The sequence below is a fragment of the Homo sapiens genome, chromosome 14 (assembly GCF_000001405.40).
Source record: "Homo sapiens chromosome 14, GRCh38.p14 Primary Assembly".
Classification (NCBI taxonomy): domain Eukaryota; kingdom Metazoa; phylum Chordata; class Mammalia; order Primates; family Hominidae; genus Homo; species Homo sapiens.
In genome coordinates this window covers 44,501,549-44,522,124 of record NC_000014.9, presented here as the reverse complement: position 1 = coordinate 44,522,124, position 20,576 = coordinate 44,501,549, and the positions used below count along the sequence as shown (strand labels likewise).

Sequence of the window (20,576 nt, the reverse complement as noted above, 5' to 3'; positions counted from 1 at the left end):
ATCCATAACAGATGTGAACCAAGTGAGGGAGAAAGAGCTGAATCATCTGGGATTTCTAGAACAAAAGATAAAATGCCAAGTCCTAAATTGAAAGAGAGTTTGTGTAATGATTAGTGGGGTCATGTAGATGATTCGAGCAAAAGAAACATATGTATGTCTTAAGAATGGAATGAGAAACTGCTCCATGAAATCTCATTATTCTACTTGAAATCTTAGGTAATTTTTAAAATTATCTATGCATGATATTTTTATGAACAAGCTAATACTAGTAGCAAAAGGCAGTTTACTATGACAGTTTGGTACATGATTAAGAAAGATCAAGTTCTGACTTCCAGTTCCAAAATGGCAGTGTAGAGGCAAGCTGGCTTCCCCTCCCTCTCCTCCATACAGAAAACCAAAAACAAACATGGAACACTAAGATTTTCACCACCAACAACGCAGAGCTCAAGTGTAAAAATGAGAGACAGTTGCTGGGGCTTCAGAAAAGTGGAAAAACTCTGAGTAGATGGTAGGAGAATTGATCTTCCACATCCATAATGCCCCTCCACCCCCATTCTGCCCGGCACCAAGCATATAAAAAATCTCCCCACAACTCATGATTTATACAGTGGAAGAAGTGAAATTGAGGTTCTTGACCAGCTTCTCCACCTTCTTGAGTTCTCATAGGAAGCATCATGACTGCCTGAATAGAGAAATATCTTTGAGGACAGGCAGAGACAATGAGGGGAGCTGGTACTACCATTTCCTAATCCTAGAAACTCTGCTGTGTAACTTGGCCAAAGGAGATGTCAAATCAGAATGACTGTTCAGCAGCAGCACACTGTAGAAGGTATGTTCTTTGGATCCACTGGACAAAAACCCCTAGTCACTCTTCCCACACTGCTGGGATAATCCCTTTGGAACATCCCCCACTTGGGACAGGCAGCACTCTGACCATTTATTATAGCTGAAGTGAACCTGGGTCTAAGATGTCACTCAGCATCAACAAGGAGGCAGTGACCTACAAGATTTGCTAAGCAAACATATTCAGTAAAAGCCCAAACAAGCCAGACAGAGTAAACTAGAATAAATAATTAATTATTCAATAGAAAGACATAGACATATGCCCTCAAGAAACAACAGCAAACAGAAAACCATTACCTCCCCATGAGGACAAAGTAAAAATTAAATGACTGATTCTAACAAGATGGTGATATGTGAGCTCTCTGACCAAGAATTTGAAATACCAATATTAAGAAAACTCAATGAGCTCCAAGGTAACACAGAAAAGAAATTCAGAAATCTAGCAGAGAAATTTAACAAAAAGATTAAAATAATAAGACATTGCTGAAGTGAATACATTTGCTGAATTGAAGCACTCTTTAGAGGCTCTCAACAGCAGAATGAACCAACCAATGAAAAAAATCAGTGAGCTTGAAGGCCAGCTATTTGAAAATACACAGAGGAGGAAAAAGAAAATGAATAAAAGGACTGAAGGCCACCTACAAGACATAGAAAATTATTTCAAAAGACCAAATCTAAGAATTATTGGTGTTCAAGAGGGGGCTGAGCAAGAAGGGTGTAGAAAGTTTATTCAAGTAAATAAGAACAGAAAACTTTCCAAAACTTGAGAAAGAAAGAAATACTACGTACAGAAAGGTCTTAGGGCACCAAACAGATTCAACCCAAATATGGCTACTTATCATAAAGCATATAATAATTAAACTCTCAAAGGTCAAAGACAAACAGATGTCAAGAGCAGCAAGAGAAAAGAAACAACATAGGAAGAAGTTCCAAATTCATCTGGCAACAGACTCCTCAAACCATATAGGCAGGAGGGACTAGAATGACATTTTCACTGTGCCCAAAGGAAAAAAAAAACTGTCATCAAAGAATACTGCAACCAGCAAAATTAACATTTAACTACGAAGGAGAGACATATATATTTTTTTCTCAGACAAACAAAAACTGAGAGAATTCACCAACACCAGACTTGTCTTGCAAGAAACGCTAAAGGGAGTTCATCAGTCTGAAAGAAAAAAGCACTAATGTGTAAAAGAAAACTTTAAGGTATAAAATCCATTGGTTAAATTAAGTAAATGGGAAAATCTAGAGTACTCTATTACTGTATTTGTAGTGTGAAATCCACCCATAAATCTAGCATGAAGCCCAAAAGACAAATAGACAAAGAACAATAATGCTATAGCAACCTGCTAAGAGATAGATAATATAAAAATGTGTACATTGAGACAACTAAAAGTCACAGTGTGGTTGGGGAGAAGGTAGAGTTAAAGTGTAGAATTTTTTTGTGTGGGTTTTTTTACTTTTGTTTCTATTATTTTGCTTGTGATGTAAGATAAGTTGTCGCCTCCTTAAAATAACTTGTTATGTAAATAAGATGTTCTTTGTAAGCCTCATGGTAACTACAGTGAAAAACCTACACTAGATTCACTAAAAATAAAGAAAATTAAAACATACTACCAGATACAACCACTTAACCACAAAGGAAGACAGAAAGAAAGGAAGGAGAAAAGGAAGAGAGGAATCTTAAAATCAGAAAACAAGCCAAAAAATGGCAATAGTAAGTCTTATCAGTAATAACACTGAATGTAAATTGTTACAATTCTTTAATTAAAAGGGGTAGAGTGGCTGCATGGATTAAGAAACAAGACCCACCTAAGTGCTGACTTCAAGAAAACCACTTTACCTATAGAGATACACATAAACTGAAAGTGAAGTGGTGGAAAAGATATTCCATGTAACTGGAAACCAAAAATGAACAAGGGTAGCTACTCATATCAGATAAAATAGTTTACAAATCTAAGACTGTAACAATGACAAAGAAAGTCACTATAAAGAGGTCAATTCAGCAAGACAGTATACAAATCCTAAATATCTATGCATTTAACACTGGAGATCCCAAGTGTATAAAGCAAACGTTAATAGATCTAAAGGGAGAGACAGACTGCAATACAAAAATAGTAGAGGACATTAATACTCCACTTTCAGTAACAGACCGATCATCCAGACAGAAAAGCAACAAAGAAACAGAGTTAAACAATATACTAGATTTAATAGGCCTAACTGATATTTAAAGAACTTTTAACCTAACTGCTGCAGAATACACATTCTTTTCATCAGCATATGGAACATTCTTTAGAATAGACCAGGCTACAAAGCAAGTCTGAATCAATTTAAAAAGATAAAAACCATATAAAGTACCTTTTCTGGCCACAATGGAATCAAATTAGACATCAGTAACAAGAGGAACCTTCGAAAATACACAAACACGTGGAAATTAAACAACATGTTCCGGAACAACCAATGAATCAATGAAGAAATTAAGAAATTTAAAATTTCTTGAAACAAATGTAAATGAAAATACAACAAATCAGCATCTATGGGATATGGCAAAGCAGTACTAAGAAGGAAGTTTATAGCAATAATGCCTGTATGATAAAAGTAGAAAGCCTTCAAATAAACAACCTAATGATGCACTGCAAGGAATTAGAAAGGCAAGAACAAACAAAACCCAAAATTAGTACAAGGAAAGAAATAATAAATATCAGCACAGAAATAAATGAAATGGAGACTAAAAAACAATACAGATCAGCAAAACCAAAAAGGGTTTTTTGAAAAATAAAATCAACAAACCTTTGGCTAGACTTAAAAAAAGGAGATGATTGAAATAAATAAAATCAGAAGCAAGAAAGGAGACCCGACATCCAAAACATCAGCAATACAAATAATTCTTAGAGACTATTATGAAAAACTATATGCCAACCAATTTGAAGACCTGAAAAAACAGATAAATTACTGGACACATAAAACCTGCCAAGATTGAACCATGAAGAAATATAGAACCTCAACAAACCAGTAACAAGTAATGATAGTGAAGCTGTAATAAAAAGTCTCTCATCAAATAAAAGCCCAGGACCTGAGGGCTTCACTGTTGCATTTTACCAAACCTTTAAACAAGAATTAATATCAATTCTCTTTAAACTATTCCAGAAAATAGAAGAGGAGGGAGGACTTCCAAGGTCATTTTACAAGGCCAGCGTTAATCTAATTCCAAAACCAGAGAAGGACACAGCAAAAAAGAAAACTACAGGCCAATATCACTGATGAACAAGATGCAAAAATCCTCAACAAAATACTAGCAAACTGAATGCAACAACACATTAAAAAGATCATTCAGCATGATCAAGTGGAATTCATCCCAGGGATGTAAGGATGGTTCAACATATGTAAATCAATGAACGTGGTATATCACCTTAACTGAATCAGGAACAAAAAGTACATGATCCTTTCAATAGATGCCAAAAAAGCACTTGATAAAATTTAACATTTCTTTATGATAAAAACCCTCATCAAAGTGGATATAGAAAGGACATACCTTAAAATAATAAAGACCACATATGACAAACCCACATCTAGCATTGTGTTGAATGGGGAAAAACTGGAACAAGACAAGCATGCCCACTTTTGCCACCATTATTCAACATAAAACTGGGTGTCCTAGATAGATCAATTAGGCAAGAAAAAGAAGCAGAAAGCATCCACATTGGAAAGGAAGAAGTCAAATTAGCCTTGTTCACAGATAACATGATCTTATACATAAAAAAACCTAAAGACTCCACCAAAAAACTGTTTAAACTGATAAATTCAGTAAAGTTGCAGAAACAAAATAAATATATAAAAATCAGCCACATTTTTATATGCCAGTAATGGACAATCTGAAAAAGAAATCAAGAAAGCAATCCCATTTACAGTAGCTGCACAAATATAAAATACCTTGGAGTCAATCTAGACAATGAAGTGTAAGATCTAGACAAGGAAAACTATACAACTTTAATAAAAGAAATAGAAGATAATACAAAAAATGGAAAGATATTCCATGCTCATGGAGTGGAATAATTAACATTATTAAAATTACAATTCTACTCAGCAATTTATAGATTCAATGTTATCCCTAACAAAATACCAATGATATTCTTTACAGAAATAGAAAAAAAAATTCTAAAATTTGTACGAAACCACAAAAGACCCTGAATAGCTAAAGCAGTCCTGAGCAAAAAGAACAAAACAGGAGGCATCATACTACCTGACTTCAAAATTTACCACAAAGTATAGTAACCAAATAACACAGTACTGGCATAAAAACAGACACATAGGCCAGTAAAACAGAATAGAGAACCTTGATATAAATCCAAGAATTTACATACAATCAAATCATTTTTGAGAAAGACAACAGGAACACACAATGGGGGAAAAGATAGTCTTTTCAATGAATGGTGTTGGGAAAACTGGATCACTATATGCAAAAGAATGAAAGTAGACTCCTATCTCTCACCATACACAAGAATCAAATTAAAATGGATTAAAGACTTAAATCTAAGATATAACACTATGAAACTAGTAAAAATACTCCAGGACATTGGTCTGGGCAAGCACAGGCAACCAAAGCAAAAACAGACAAATGGGATCGCATCAAGCTAAAAATCTTCTGCACAGCAAAGGAAACAGCCAGCAAAGTGAAAAGACAACCATAGCATTGGAGAAATCATTTGCAAACTAATCATGTGACAAGAGATTGATAACCAGAATATACAAGGAGCTCAAACAACTCACTAGAAAAAAAAACAAACCCAAATTATCAAATTAAAGAACGGGCAATCATTGTTCCAAAAAGATACCTATACTAGTATGTTTACCGCAACAATATTCACAGTAGCAAAGATAAGGAATCAGCTTAAGTGTCCGTCATTGGATGACTGGATAAAGCCAATGTAGTGTATATACATGTTAGAATGCTTTTCAGCCATAAAAAATGATAAAATTGCTAGGAGTTTCAAAATGGCAGAATAAGAACAGCTCCAGTCTGCAGCTCCCAGTGTGATCAACACAGAAGATGGGTGATTTCTGCATTTCCAACTGAAGTACCTGATTCATCTCACTGGGACTGGTTGGACAGTGGGTGCAGTCCATGGAGGGTCAGCTGAAGCAGGGCGGGGCATTGCCTCACCCGGGAAGCGGATGGGGTTGGGGGATTTCCCTTTCCTAGCCAAAGGAATCCGTGACAGGCTGTACCTGGAAAAAAATGGGACACTCCCACCCAAATACTGCACTTTTCCAATGGTCTGAGCAAATGGCACACCGGGAGATTATATCTCGCACATGGCTTGGCAGGTCCCATGCCCACGGAGCCTTGCTCACCACTAGCGCAGCAGTCTGAGATTGACCTGCGAGGTGACAGCCTGGCAGGGGAGGGGCATGTGCCATTGCTGAGGCTTGAGTAGGTAAACAAAGCAGCCTGGGAAGCTCAAACTGGGCGGAGCCCACCGCAGCTCAGCAAGGCCTACTGCCTCTGAATAAAAGGCAGCAGAAACTTCTGCAGACTTAAACGTCCTTGTCTGACAGCTCTGAAGAGAGCAGCAGTTCTCCCAGCATGGTGTTTGAGCTCTGAGAATGGACAGACTGCCTCCTCAAGTGGGTCCCTGACCCCCGTGTAGCCTAACTGGGAGAGATCTCCCAGTAGGGGCCAACTGACTTCGCATACAGGTGGGTGCCTCTCTGGGATGAAGCTTCCAGAGGAAGGATCAGGCAGCAATATTTGCTGTTCTGCAGCCTCTGCTGGTGATACCCAAGCAAAAAGAGTCTGGAGTAGAGCTCCAGCAAACTCCAACAGACCTGCAGCTGAGGGACCTGACTGTTAGAAGGAAAACCAACAAACGAAAAGGAATAGCATCAACATCAACAAAAAGGACATCCACACCAAAACCCCATCTGTAGGTCACCAACATCAAAGACCAAAGGTAGATAAAACCACAAAGATGGGGAGAAACCAGAGCAGAAAATCTGAAAATTCTAAAAACCAGAGCACCTCTACTCCTCCAAAGGATCGCAGCTCTTCGCCAGCAACAGAACAAAGCTGGATGGAGAATGACTTTGATGAGCTGACAGAAGCAGGCTTCAGAAGGTTGATAATAACAAACTTCTCTGAGCTAAAGGAAGATGTTCGAACCCATTGCAAGGAAGCTAAAAACCTTTAAAAAAGATTAGATGAATGGCTAACTAGAATAAACAGTGTAGAGAAGACCTTAAATGACCTGATGGAGCTGAAAACCATGGTACAAGAACTATGTGATGCATGCACAAGCTTCAATAGCTGATCAATCAAGTGGAAGAAGGGGTATCAGTGACTGAAGATGAAATAAATGAAATAAAGGGAGAAGAGAAGTTTAGAGAAAAAAGAGTAAAAATAAACAAACAAAACCTCCAAGAAATATGGGACTATGTGAAAAGACCAAATCTACGTTTGATTGGTGTACCTGAAAGTGACAGGGAGAATGGAACCAAGTTGGAAAACACTCCTCAGGATATTATCCAGGAGAACTTCCCTAACCTAGGAAGGCTGGCCAACATTCAAATTCAAGAAATACAGAGAACACCACAAAGATACTCCTTGAGAAGAGCAACCCCAAGACACATAATTGTCAGATTCACCAAGGTTGAAATTAAGGAAAAAATGTTAAGGGCAGCCAGAGAGAAAGGTCAGGTTACCCACAAAGAGAAGCACATCAGACTAACAGTGGATCTCTCAGCAAAAACTCTACAAGCCAGAAGAGAGTGGGGGCCAATATTCAACATTCTTAAAGGAAATAATTTTCAACCCAGAATTTCATACCGAGCCAAACTAAGCTTCATAAGTGAAGGAGAAATAAAATCCTTTACAGACAAGCAAATGCTGACAGATTTTGTCACCACCAGGGCTGCCTTACAAGAGCTCCTGAGGGAAGCACATGGAAAGGAACAACTGGTACCAGCCACTGCAAAAAACATGCCAAATTGTAAAGACCATCAATACTAGGAAGAAACTGCATCAACTAATGGGCAAAATAACCAGCTAACATCATAATGATGGGACCAAATTGACACGTAACAATATTAACCTTAAATGTAAATAGGCTAAATGCCCCAGTTAAAAGGCACAGACTGGCAAATTGGATGAAGAGTCAAGACCCATCAGTGTGTTGTATTCAGGAGACCCATCTCACATGCAGACACACACAAATAAAGGGATGCAGGAAGATCTACCAAGCAAATGGAAAGCAAAAAAAAAAAAAAAAAAAAAAAAAAGCAGAGGTTGCAATCTTAGTCTCTGATAAAAAAGACTTTAAACCAACAAAGATCAAAGGAGACAAAGAAAACCATTACATAATGGTAAAGGGATCAATTCAAAAAGAAGAGCTAACTATCCTACATATATATGCACCCAATACAGGAGGACCCAGATTCATAAAGCAAGCCCTTAGAGACCTACAAAGAGACTTAGACTCCCACACAATAATAATGGGAGACTTTAACACCCCAGTATCAATATGAGATCAATGAGATAGAAGATTAACAAGGATATCCAGGAATTGAACTCAGCTCTGCACCAAGCAGACCTAATAGACATCTAGAGAACTCTCCAACCCAAATCAACAGAATATACATTCTTCTCAGCACCACGTTGCACTTATTCCAAAATTGACCACATAGTTGAAAGTAAAGCACTCCTCAGCAAATGTAAAAGAACAGAAATTATAACAAACTGTCTCTCAGACCACAGTGCAATCAAACTAGAACTCAGGATTAAGAAACTCACTTGAAACCGCATAACTACATGGAAGCTGAACAACCTGTTCCTGAATGACTACCGGGTAAATAACGAAATGAAGGCAGAGAGAAAAATGTTCTTTGAAACCAATGAGAACAAAGACACAACGTACCAGAATCTCTGGGACACATGTAAAGGAGTTTGTAGAGGGAAATTTATAGAACTAAATGCCACAGAGAAAGCAGGAAAGATCTAAAATTGACACCCTAACATCACAATTAAAAGAACTAGAGAAGCAAGAGTAAACAAATTCAAAAGCTAGCAGAAGGCAAGAAATAACGAAGATCAGAGCAGAACTGAAGGAGATAGAGACACAAAAAAACCTTCAAAAAATCAATGAATCCAGGAGCTTGTTTTTTGAAAAGATAACAAAATTGATAGACCGCTAGCAAGACTAATAAAGAAGAAAAGAGAAAAGAATCAAATAGTCACAATAAAAAATGATAAAGGGGATATAACCACAGATCCCACAGAAATACGAACTACCATCAGAGAATAATATAAACACCCCTACAGAAGTAAACTATAAAATCTAGAAGAAATGGATAAATTCCTGGAGACATACACCCTCCCAAGACTAAACCAGGAGGAAGTTGAATCTCTGAATAGACCAATAACAGGCTCTGAAATTGAGGAAAAAATTAAGAGCCTACCAACCAAAAAAGTCCAGGACCAGACGGAGTCACAGCCAAATTCTACCAGAGGTACAAAGAGGAGCTGGCACCACTCCTTCTGAAACTATTCCAATCAATAGAAAAAGAGGGAATACTCCCTAACTCATTTTATGAGGCCAGCGTCATCCTGATACCAAAGCCTGGCAGAGACACAGCAAAAAAAGAGAATTTTATGCCAATATCCTTGATGAACATCGATGTGAAAATCCTCAATAAAATACTGGCAAACCAAATCCAGCAGCACATCAAAAAGCTTATCCACCACAATCAAGTGGGCTTCATTCCTGGGATGCAAGGTTGGTTCAACATATGCAAATCAATAAACTTAATTTATTACATAAACAGAAGCAACGACAAAAACCACATGATTATCTCAATAGATGCAGAAAAGGCCTTTGACAAAATTCAACAGCCTTCATGTTAAAATCTCTCAATAAACTAGGTATTGATGGAATGTATCTCAAAATAATAAGAGCTATTTATGACAAACCCACAGCCAATATTATTGTGAATGGGCAAAAACTGGAAGCATTCCCTTAGAAAACTGGCACAAGACAGGGATGCCCTCTCTCACCACTGCTATTCAACATAGTGTTTGAAGTTCTGCCCAGGGCAATCAGGCAAGAGAAAGAAATAAAGGTATTCAATTAGGAAAAGAGGAAGTCAAATTGTCCCTGTTTGCAGATGACATGATTGTATATTTAGAAGACCCCATTGTCTCAGCCCAAAATCTCCTTAAGCTGATAAGCAACTTCAGCAAAGTCTCAGGATACAAAACCAATATGCAAAAATCACAAGCATTCCTATACACCAATAACAGACAAATAGAGAGCCAAATCATGAGTGAATGCCCATTCACAATTGCTACAAAGAGAATAAAATACCTAGGAATCCAACTTACAAGGGATGTGAAGGACCTCTTCAAGGAGAACTACAAACCACTGCTCAACGAAATAAAAGAGGACACAAACAAATGGAAGAACACTCCAAGCTTATAGATAGGAAGAATCAATATTGTGAAAATGGCCATACTGCCAAAGTTAATTTATAGATTCAATGCCATCTCCATCAAGCTACCAATGACTTTCTTCACAGAATTGGAAAAAACTGCTTTAAAGTTCATGTGGAACCAAAGAAGAGCCCACATTGCCAAGACTCTCCTAAACCAAAAGAACTAAGCTGGAGGCATCCTGCTACCTGACTTCAAACTATACTACAAGGTTACAGTAACCAAAACAGCAAGGTACTGGTACCAAAACATATGTATAGACCAATGCAACAGAACAGAGGCCTCAGAAATAACACCACACATCTACAACCATCTGATCTTTTACAAAGAACTTAAACAAATTTACAAGAAAAAAACAACCCCATGAAATAGTGGACAAAGGATATGAACAGACACTTCTCAAAAGAAGACATTTATGCAGACAAAAGACCATGAAAAAATGCTCATCATCACTGGTCATCAGAGAAATGCAAATCAAAACCACAATGAGATACCATCTCACACCAGTTAGAATGGTGATCATTAAAAAGTCAGGAAACAACAGATGCTAGAGAGGATGTGGAGAAATAGGAATGCTTTTACACTGCTGGTAGGAGTGTAAACTAGTTCAACCATTGTGGAAGACAGTGTGGCGATTCCTCAATGATCTAGAACTAGAAATATCATTTGACCCATCAATCCCATTACTGGGTAGATACCCAAAGGATCATAAATCATGCTACTGTAAAGACACATGCACACATATGTTTATTGCGGCACTATTCACAATAGCAAAGACTTGGAACTAACCCAAATGTCCATCAATGATAGACTGGATTAGGAAAATGTGGCACATATACACCATGGAATATGCAGTCATAAAAAAGGATGAGTTCATGACCTCTGCAGGGATATGGATGAAGCTGGAAACCATCATTCTGAGCAAACTATTACAAGGACAGAAAAGCAAACACTGCATGTTCTCACTTATAGGTGAGCATTGAACAAAATAGAACACTTGGACACAGTGCGGGGAATATCCCACCCCAGGTCCTGTCATGGGGTGTGGAAAAAGGGGAGGGATAGCATTAGGAGAAATACCTAATGTGAATGACGAGTTAATGGGTGCAGCAAACCAACATGGCCCATGTATGCCAATGTAACAAACTTGCACGTTGTGCACATGTACCCTAGAACCTAAAGTATAATTAAAATTAAAAAATAATAAAGCTTAACCTGGTAGAAAATTTAAAAAAGTAAAATCATGTCTTTTGCTGCAACATGAATGGAACTGGAGGCCATTATTTTAACAGAAACAACTCAGAAACAGAAAGGCAATGCATCTTCTCACTTATAAGTGGGAGCTAAATAAAGCATCCACATGGATGCAGAGTGTTGAATGATGTAACAATGGAGACTCAGAAGTGTGTGGGAGATGGAAGTGGGGGATGATAAGAAATTACCTAATGGGTACAATTTATATTATTCAGGTAATTGTAACACTAAAATCTCTGACTCCACCACATGCAATATATCTATGTAACAAAATTATACTTGTACCACATAAATTTATACAAAAAATGGGCAAAATATCTGAATAGACATTGCTTAAAAGATGGCATAGAAATGGTAAACAGTGATATGAGAAAATGCTCAACATCACTAATCAGAGAAATGCCAATCAAAACCACAGTGAGGTATCATCTCACCCCTGTCAAAATGGCTTGTATGAAAAAGACAGACAAGAGAGGAAAACATAAAGATATAAGGACTGGAAATTGAGAATTCAATTTCATTGAAATGGACAATTCAGTTTAAGGAAATTTGGAAAAGTCTTATTTAAGTTAAAGAAGCAAAACTAATCCAATACATGTAATCTTATATTAACCCAATTAGTGCAATGTTGGCTTTGACATTTATTTCTTGTTGTGAATTGACCCAAAATAGACTTTGAAGATATTACATGAAATTTCAGAAACTTGATTACAAAACACACCTGCAATATTTGTCAGATATAATTGAGAGAAACACCAGGCTCTCTCTTTGTGATCACAAAGATGTTGATAAACAACCCAATGGAGATTGCCCCACCAATTGACCCTTTTATGAAATGTTTCTCTGTAGCATGCAATACTATTTTATAGTGTCATAACTTTTTTTCAAAATCAGAGTCAATCCTCTCAAACCGTACCATTGCTTTATCAGTGAAGTTTGTGGAATAGTCTAAATCCTTTGTTATTGTAACAATGTTCACAGCACCTCACTAGGAGTAGATTCCATCTCAAGAAACTACTTTCTTTGCTTATCCATAAGAAGCAGCCCTTCATCCATTAAAGTTTTACCATTAGATTGCAGCAATTCAGTCATGTCTTCAGGCTCTACATAAAATTTAAATTTTCTTGCTATTTCTACCACATCTGCAGTTACTCTCTCCACTGAAATCTTGAAGCCCTCAAAGTGATCTATGAGGGTTGGAATCAGCTTCTTCCAGACTCCTGTTAATGTTGATATTTAGACTTATTACCATTATTCATAAATATTCTTAATGGCATCTAAAGTGGTAAATCCTTTACAGAGGGTTTAAATTTACCTTCAATTTCAGATCCATTAATGGAATCACTATCTATGGCAGCCATAGCATTATGAAATATATTTAAATAATAACATTGAAAATCAAAATTAACCCTTGATCCATGCGCTGCAGAATGGATGTTGTGTTAGCAGGCATGAAAACAACATGAATTTCAAATGAGAGGTCTGTGATTCTTCTTTTCACGTGAACACTTAGAGGCCATTGTAGGGCTATCAATTTGCCTAATTTCAATATTGTTGTGTCTCAAGCAATAGAAAGGCCTGAGGAGAGAGAGAGAGAGAGATGGGGGAACAGCTGGCTGGTGGATTAGTCAGAACACATACAACATTTATCTATTAAATTTGTTATATATAGGGTATGATGCTGCAAAATATTTACAGCAGTAACATTAAAGATCACTGATCATAGATCACCACAGCAGATAGCATAATAATGAAAAAGTTTGAAATATTGCAAGAATTACCAAAATGTGACACAAAGAAATGAAATGAGCACATACTGTTTGAAAAAAATGGCATCAATGGACTTTCTCGATGCAGGCTTGCCACAAACATTCAATTTGTAAAAAGTGCAGTATCTGTAAAACACAAAAAAGCAAAGTGTAATAAAATGAGGTATGCCTGTAACTCCCAAAGATCCCATCTTTAAATACCATAACTTTGGGGGTTCCAACATATGAATTTGTGGGTAAGGAGACAGGGCCACAAACATTCAGCTCATAACACCAATGCATGTGAAAAAAAGGGGAATTATTCAATTCACTATGTTTTCTAGGGGCAATATGGCATAAAGAAATTTAAAAATATTCCCAGATTAATGCAGTCATAATTATTATTTGGCATATGGTTATTACATTGTCTCCTATAACTGTATTTTAAAAGTCTATTTTCTCTTCTTGATTTTCCTCAGACTAATGCACAATGTTTTTGCATACTGTTTGATCAATATTCATCTTTCTAGTAAAATTCTTGAGTGATATGAGTTAAAATTTTATCTGTATTCCAAATCTAATACAATGTCATCTACAATCTGCTTGACTGGAATTCCTCCTTTTCATAGCTTCAATTTAATGTTTTTATCTTCAGCTGGTGCAGTGGCTCATGCCTGTAATCTCAGCTACTGGGGACGCAGGGGTAGGAGTATTGCTTAAGCCCAGAAGATTGAGGCTGCAGTGAGCTATGATTGCACCACGGCACTCCAGCCTGGGTGACACAGTGAGAGCCTATCTCAAAAAACAAGACAAAGATAAAAATAAAGTTTTTATCTACATTGGGGCATTCATTCCCATGTAGGTACTCAGCAGAGTCTAATGTGACTACTTCAAAAGGTGCATTTTATCTCACTTGGCATGTATTTAGACTCATTCTTTTAGTTGGCAAATTTTGGATGCAACTACACTCTAAAATAGTTAAATAAAAATTAAAATATCTCATGATGTTTTAGAAGATAAACCTGCCTTCTATATTTTGATAATAGGCTGTTGTGTTACTGAAGGCTAAGGATGTAGAAAAGCAGCTTATATGAAGATGAACTTCAGAATTCAAGTTTTTCAAACAGTAGTAACTTCCTTTCAAGTCATATAAAATACATTGATAGAACATCCTCACTCATGTTATGGGTTGTTTTGTACAATTGAAAATAGGCTGCAGCATTCTGAGTTCTGCATTACTGTCTTTGATAATAGGATGAAAAGAACAGAATTGAAAGTTCAAAAAAGCATCAATTTCAGCAATTAGAAAGTGGCATTACTGGAATTTACCTGATGTTCTTTTGTAGACAAATGCTTTTTTTCAACTTGTTTCAAAAAGTAGATTCTCACTTGCAGCCATTACCTATGGATGTATACTAAGTTTAAAAGTCCTAGGAATACCACTGATGGAATCCTGAAGGCAGAACTGGCTATGATGTCATAGACCCTTGAAGGAAACTTCTAAAAGTGATATTTAGTTATAACAGAGACTAAAGAAGAAAGACGCTTACTGAATAAGGTGGGATCCAACAAGAGTGTAGTATGGAATGCAATAGCTTATGAATTACTTTTTTTCTGAGGGAGCTCAACAGAATGACACCTAAGAAAGGGAAAGTCTTTGACACTTGGTACGTTTGTGATTTTTGGTCATTACTTGAAAATTAATAAGTTTGAAATCACTACTCTTAGAAATGGAAGAAAGTGATGACTCTAATCAGCCTATCTCAGCGTGTAGGCAAGAAATTCGAAAGAGAAGATGACCCAGCAAACCAATGGTAGGCAAATCCCAGCAAACTGATGTAATAGAGAAAAAGAAACACATGGCCATACCAAAATCATCTAGCCCCAAAGCTACCCATCGTATTGGTAATACTTCTGGAAGCAAAGGCAGCTACTCTGCCAAAGCCTATGAGTCTATTAGAGTATCTTCTGAGCTTCAGCAAACTTGGACAAAGAGAAAGCATGGACAGGAAATGACTAGTAAGTCTCTCCAGACAGACACCATTGTAGAAGAGAAAAAAGAAGTCAAGTTAGTTGAGGAAACCGTGGTACCTGAAGAAAAGTCAGCTGATGTTAGAGAAGCTGCTATTGAATTGCCAGAGAGTGTTCAGGATGTAGAAATTCCACCAAACATACCTTCAGTTCAACTAAAAATGGACAGATCTCAGCAGACCAGCCGTACAGGATACTGGACCATGATGAACATCCCCCCTGTAGAAAAAGTGGACAAGGAACAACAGACATACTTTAGTGAATCAGAAATAGTGGTTATTTCCAGGCCAGATAGTTCTTCTACAAAGTCAAAGGAAGATGCCCTGAAACATAAATCGTCGGGAAAGATTTTTGCTAGTGAACACCCTGAATTTCAACCAGCAACAAACAGCAATGAAGAAATTGGGCAGAAAAATATCAGCAGAACTTCATTTACTCAGGAGACTAAAAAAGGTCCCCCGGTACTTTTAGAAGATGAGCTTAGGGAAGAAGTAACTGTACCTGTTGTACAAGAAGGTTCTGCTGTTAAAAAAGTGGCTTCTGCTGAAATAGAGCCTCCATCAACAGAAAAATTCCCAGCTAAAATACAGCCTCCATTAGTTGAAGAGGCCACTGCTAAAGCGGAGCCCAGACCTGCTGAAGAGACCCATGTCCAAGTACAGCCATCAACTGAAGAGACTCCTGATGCTGAGGCAGCCACTGCAGTTGCGGAGAATTCTGTTAAAGTTCAGCCTCCACCTGCTGAAGAGGCCCCTTTAGTGGAGTTTCCTGCTGAAATTCAGCCTCCATCAGCTGAAGAGTCTCCTTCTGTAGAGCTTCTGGCTGAAATTCTGCCTCCATCAGCTGAAGAGTCCCCTTCAGAAGAGCCTCCTGCTGAAATTCTGCCTCCACCAGCTGAAAAGTCTCCTTCAGTAGAGCTTCTTGGTGAAATTCGGTCTCCCTCAGCACAAAAGGCTCCCATTGAAGTACAGCCTTTACCAGCTGAGGGCGCCCTTGAAGAGGCCCCAGCTAAAGTAGAGCCTCCCACTGTTGAAGAGACCCTTGCTGATGTTCAGCCTCTATTACCTGAAGAGGCTCCTAGAGAAGAGGCTCGAGAACTTCAGCTTTCAACAGCTATGGAGACCCCTGCAGAAGAGGCTCCTACTGAATTTCAGTCTCCATTACCTAAAGAGACCACTGCAGAAGAGGCCTCTGCTGAAATTCAGCTTCTAGCAGCTACGGAGCCTCCTGCAGATGAAACTCCTGCCGAAGCTCGGTCTCCACTATCTGAGGAGACTTCTGCAGAAGAGGCTCATGCTGAAGTTCAATCTCCATTAGCTGAAGAGACCACTGCAGAAGAGGCCTCTGCTGAAATTCAGCTTCTAGCAGCTATAGAGGCTCCTGCAGATGAAACTCCTGCTGAAGCTCAGTCTCCACTATCTGAGGAGACTTCTGCAGAAGAGGCTCCTGCTGAAGTTCAGTCTCCATCAGCTAAGGGAGTTTCTATAGAAGAGGCCCCTCTTGAGCTTCAGCCTCCATCAGGTGAAGAGACCACTGCAGAAGAGGCCTCTGCTGCAATTCAGCTTCTAGCAGCTACAGAGGCTTCTGCAGAAGAGGCTCCTGCTGAAGTTCAGCCTCCACCAGCTGAGGAGGCCCCCGCTGAAGTTCAGCCTCCACCAGCTGAGGAGGCCCCCGCTGAAGTTCAGCCTCCACCAGCTGAGGAGGCCCCCGCTGAAGTTCAGCCTCCACCAGCTGAGGAGGCCCCCGCTGAAGTTCAGCCTCCACCAGCTGAGGAGGCCCCCGCTGAAGTTCAGCCTCCACCAGCTGAGGAGGCCCCTGCTGAAGTTCAGTCTCTACCAGCTGAGGAGACTCCTATAGAAGAGACCCTTGCTGCAGTACACTCTCCCCCAGCTGATGATGTCCCTGCAGAAGAGGCCTCCGTTGACAAACATTCCCCACCAGCTGATTTGCTTCTGACTGAGGAGTTTCCTATAGGAGAGGCCTCTGCTGAAGTTTCACCTCCACCATCTGAACAAACCCCTGAAGATGAGGCTCTGGTAGAGAATGTGTCTACAGAATTTCAGTCACCGCAGGTGGCAGGAATTCCAGCAGTAAAATTAGGATCGGTTGTTTTGGAAGGTGAAGCAAAATTTGAAGAGGTTTCAAAAATCAATTCTGTCCTTAAAGATTTGTCTAATACCAATGATGGACAGGCTCCCACTCTTGAAATAGAAAGTGTTTTTCATATAGAATTAAAACAACGTCCTCCTGAACTGTAGTCAGGTTGTACCTAAGCTAGCAATCAGAAGCTACATGGTTTTGGAAGAACATACTTTAGAAAAGGGTGGGCAGCGGGAAGTAGCTTTGTCAATAAGGCAAATTAAAGGGGACCCCAAGACTTGGAATACAGGTTGGAAAATGAACAATAAAAACTGTAGCAGCATAAAATTACTTGTGTTAATTTCATTCAAATTTATGGCATGAAAAATACCTATTTTGAAAGTAAGTTTATAATTGAAAAAAATTGCTTAAAATATCCTTCCTACAGTAAACTTGTTGACACGAGTAAAGTTTAATCTGCAGCCATCTTTTCTTGTCTTTGCCTTCCCTTTATAAGTAAATATAGTTTCTAGTGGAAAAGCCAATGTCTTTTCTGCAGATCTGTCATCTACTTTAAATTCCTTGAGTCTTAGTCACACATCTAAAGTTATGTGATGTTCTCTTTCTCCTTATTATAATTCATTGTATCTCTTATTCTCTTTTCATTCAATTCCTTCTGAGACAAGCATTACTTTCCTGGTTTTAGCCTAAGTGTTCTTCTTTATCTTCTTGCACGTTTTACATTTCAATGTCTGGATAGAAAACCTTATTTCTTTTGTAAAAATCTTCAGTTCAATGAAATGAAGATGGTCATAGATAAAGTACTAAAAAGTGTGCAAATAAAGAAAAATATATTTAGATGGCCTTGAGGGCACATCCCTGTGTTTAGTTTTTAATTTGATTTCAACTGAGAATGTGATGAGTCCTTGGGAAGTTTGGCTTATGCTTTTTGCTCTATGAACTGGTAATGAAGAGCAACTTAGAATAAAATGAAATTACTGTAGTAAAAGCTATTGAAGTTTTTAAAGGGCATCAAGCCTTAATAATACGTATTCTAAGATGTCTGTTATTAAAGGATATCTAGTTTTCCATGGTTATAACAACGTTGGGAAAATATTTTCTCTAGCTACAAATTAATTACAATGTGCTGAAATATTGAGATAATTTTCTCAAAAATTTTAAAATTTTGTCAGTGTATTTCTCTATTTAGTGAGAACTCTAGGTTGATGATTTCAAACCTCATTAAGCTTTGATGTCCTATCATTGTTGGATTTTTGTCACATTCTTCATTACCTCAGTAATCAAGAGTATATGATATTTTAAGTAAGTTTTTGAGAATTTTATAAAAATTATTGCAAGAACATTCTTTCTTGTATGTGCCAAACTTGAGGTTGAAAATGTTATTCTAGACTATGTAGAATGAGGGCTGTTTTTTTGCAATGTACAAGTCCTCCATTTTATGTTTTCTGAGATACTTAAATCCAGTTAAACTTGGTTTTCTAAATTAGGTCTTTTTGTTTCTATTTTGGATTTTCTGTTGTGGCTTGTTTTCTTTTTAAATTCAGAAGCCACATGAGAGTACAGAATTATACTAGAATGAGAATATGTTTAATAAAGATGGGATCTATCAATTGGCAACATGAGAAAGCTTTCAACACTTAAAAGTTGGATGTTTCTGGAGCTGAGGTGGAGCTTACATTTATCTGAATATATATATAGTACACTGTATAAATAGTAAACAAATATATTCGTAAGATTCTGGAGATCAAGTTAAAAAGTGCGGCAAATATAAGTTCTGACAGGAGTAGCTGTGAAAATTTAGGGCAAGAAACATTGATTTGATGCTTCTAAGAGACAGGTATAAGTAAGAAAATCTGAATACATTGAACATTGGCAAAAATTCGTGTGAATAGAAACACATACAGGTGATAGTCTCTACCAAATGGAAGAATGACGTCAGGCTGCTAACCATTAAATTTTTTTTCTTAAATGTGAGGTATTTTAAAGATAGCTTTCCTGAGATATAACCTACATAAAATAAATAACATTTACTTAAATTGTACAGTTCGATGCGTTTTGACATCATGTATACACCTGTGAAACCATCACCACAATGAAAACAATGAAGATGGCCATAAGCCAAAAGTTCCCACTATGATCATTTGTAACTTCTCTTTCCCTGCTTCTACCCCTCCACCCCATACATACAAGCAATTTCTGATCTGTTTTCTGTCACTGGAAATTTTTATGCATTTTTCTAGACTGTTATATAAATAGTAAAAATATATTTTTACTTTTATTGAGAAGTTGTATTCCATTATATGAATATTGCAAAATTTTAAAATTCATTTGATACACATTTGGGTTGTTTCCAGTTTTTGCTATTCTACATAAAGCTGCTATGAACATTCACGTATGAGTCTTTGTGTGGACATATGCTTTTATTTCTCTAGAGAAAATACCTGGGTATAGAATGGTCAGGCTGTGTGATAGGTGTATGTCTGACTTTAAAATACTGCCAAACTGTTTTCCAAAGTGACAAACCATTTACTTTCTGACCAACAGCTGTTGGAGTTAAAGCTGTTCTACATCCTTATCAACACTTGGGCTGGTTGGTCTTTTTCATTTTAGCCACTTTACTAGGAGGATAGTGCTATCTCCTTGTAATTTTAATGTGCGTTTCTCTAATGACTAATAATTTGGGGCATCCTTTTATGTGCTTATTTGCCATCTGCATATCTTCTTTGGTGAAGCCGATGCTTTTTCTTTTTTATGTGTCAAATTTAAGAAATCTTTGCCAAACTGAGTATTACTAAGATTTCTTCCTAAGTTTTCTTCTAAAAATGCTATTTTTCTGTATCTTATACTTAATTCTAAGATCTGTCATCAGTAATCTTTTTATGTGGTGTGAGAAGAGATATGAGGTTAACTTTTATTTTTTTAGATGTACAGGTAGCCACTTCTCCCAACACTATTTAAGTGATTATCTTGTCCTCATTGAACTGCCTTGGAGCCTTTGTTGAAAATTAATTGATCATATATGTAGGTGTATATTTTTGTACACTATTGTTCCATTGATCTTTATGTCTGTCTCTACATCAATTAACATTGTTTTGAAACCAGTAGATTTATAATCTTGA

At 37.5% G+C, this 20,576-nt stretch overlaps 1 protein-coding gene and 1 long non-coding RNA gene across 2 annotated transcripts in view; one reads left to right on the top strand and one right to left on the bottom strand.

Annotated features, from left to right (window-relative positions):
* Positions 1-14,716, bottom strand: part of LOC105370473 (uncharacterized) — a 31,105-nt gene extending 16,389 nt beyond the window's left edge. Inside the window, exons 1-2 of the long non-coding RNA NR_135257.1 lie at positions 14,656-14,716; positions 13,396-13,473 (exon numbers count right to left, since the gene is read on the bottom strand). This is a non-coding gene — a long non-coding RNA (uncharacterized LOC105370473). The remainder of the gene's footprint in view (positions 1-13,395; positions 13,474-14,655) is intronic.
* A 125-nt stretch (positions 14,717-14,841) lies between these two features.
* Positions 14,842-17,976, top strand: FSCB (fibrous sheath CABYR binding protein). Its single transcript, NM_032135.4, has one exon. It carries the CDS (start codon positions 15,138-15,140, stop codon positions 17,613-17,615), a length of 2,478 nt encoding a protein of 825 aa, NP_115511.3. The 5' UTR covers positions 14,842-15,137; the 3' UTR covers positions 17,616-17,976.
* The last annotated feature ends 2,600 nt before the right edge of the window (positions 17,977-20,576 follow it).

Excerpts from the sequence above, each read along its gene's own strand:
- FSCB (NM_032135.4), top strand. The coding sequence starts at position 15,138 with ATGGTAGGCAAATCCCAGCAAACTGATGTAATAGAGAAAAAGAAACAC.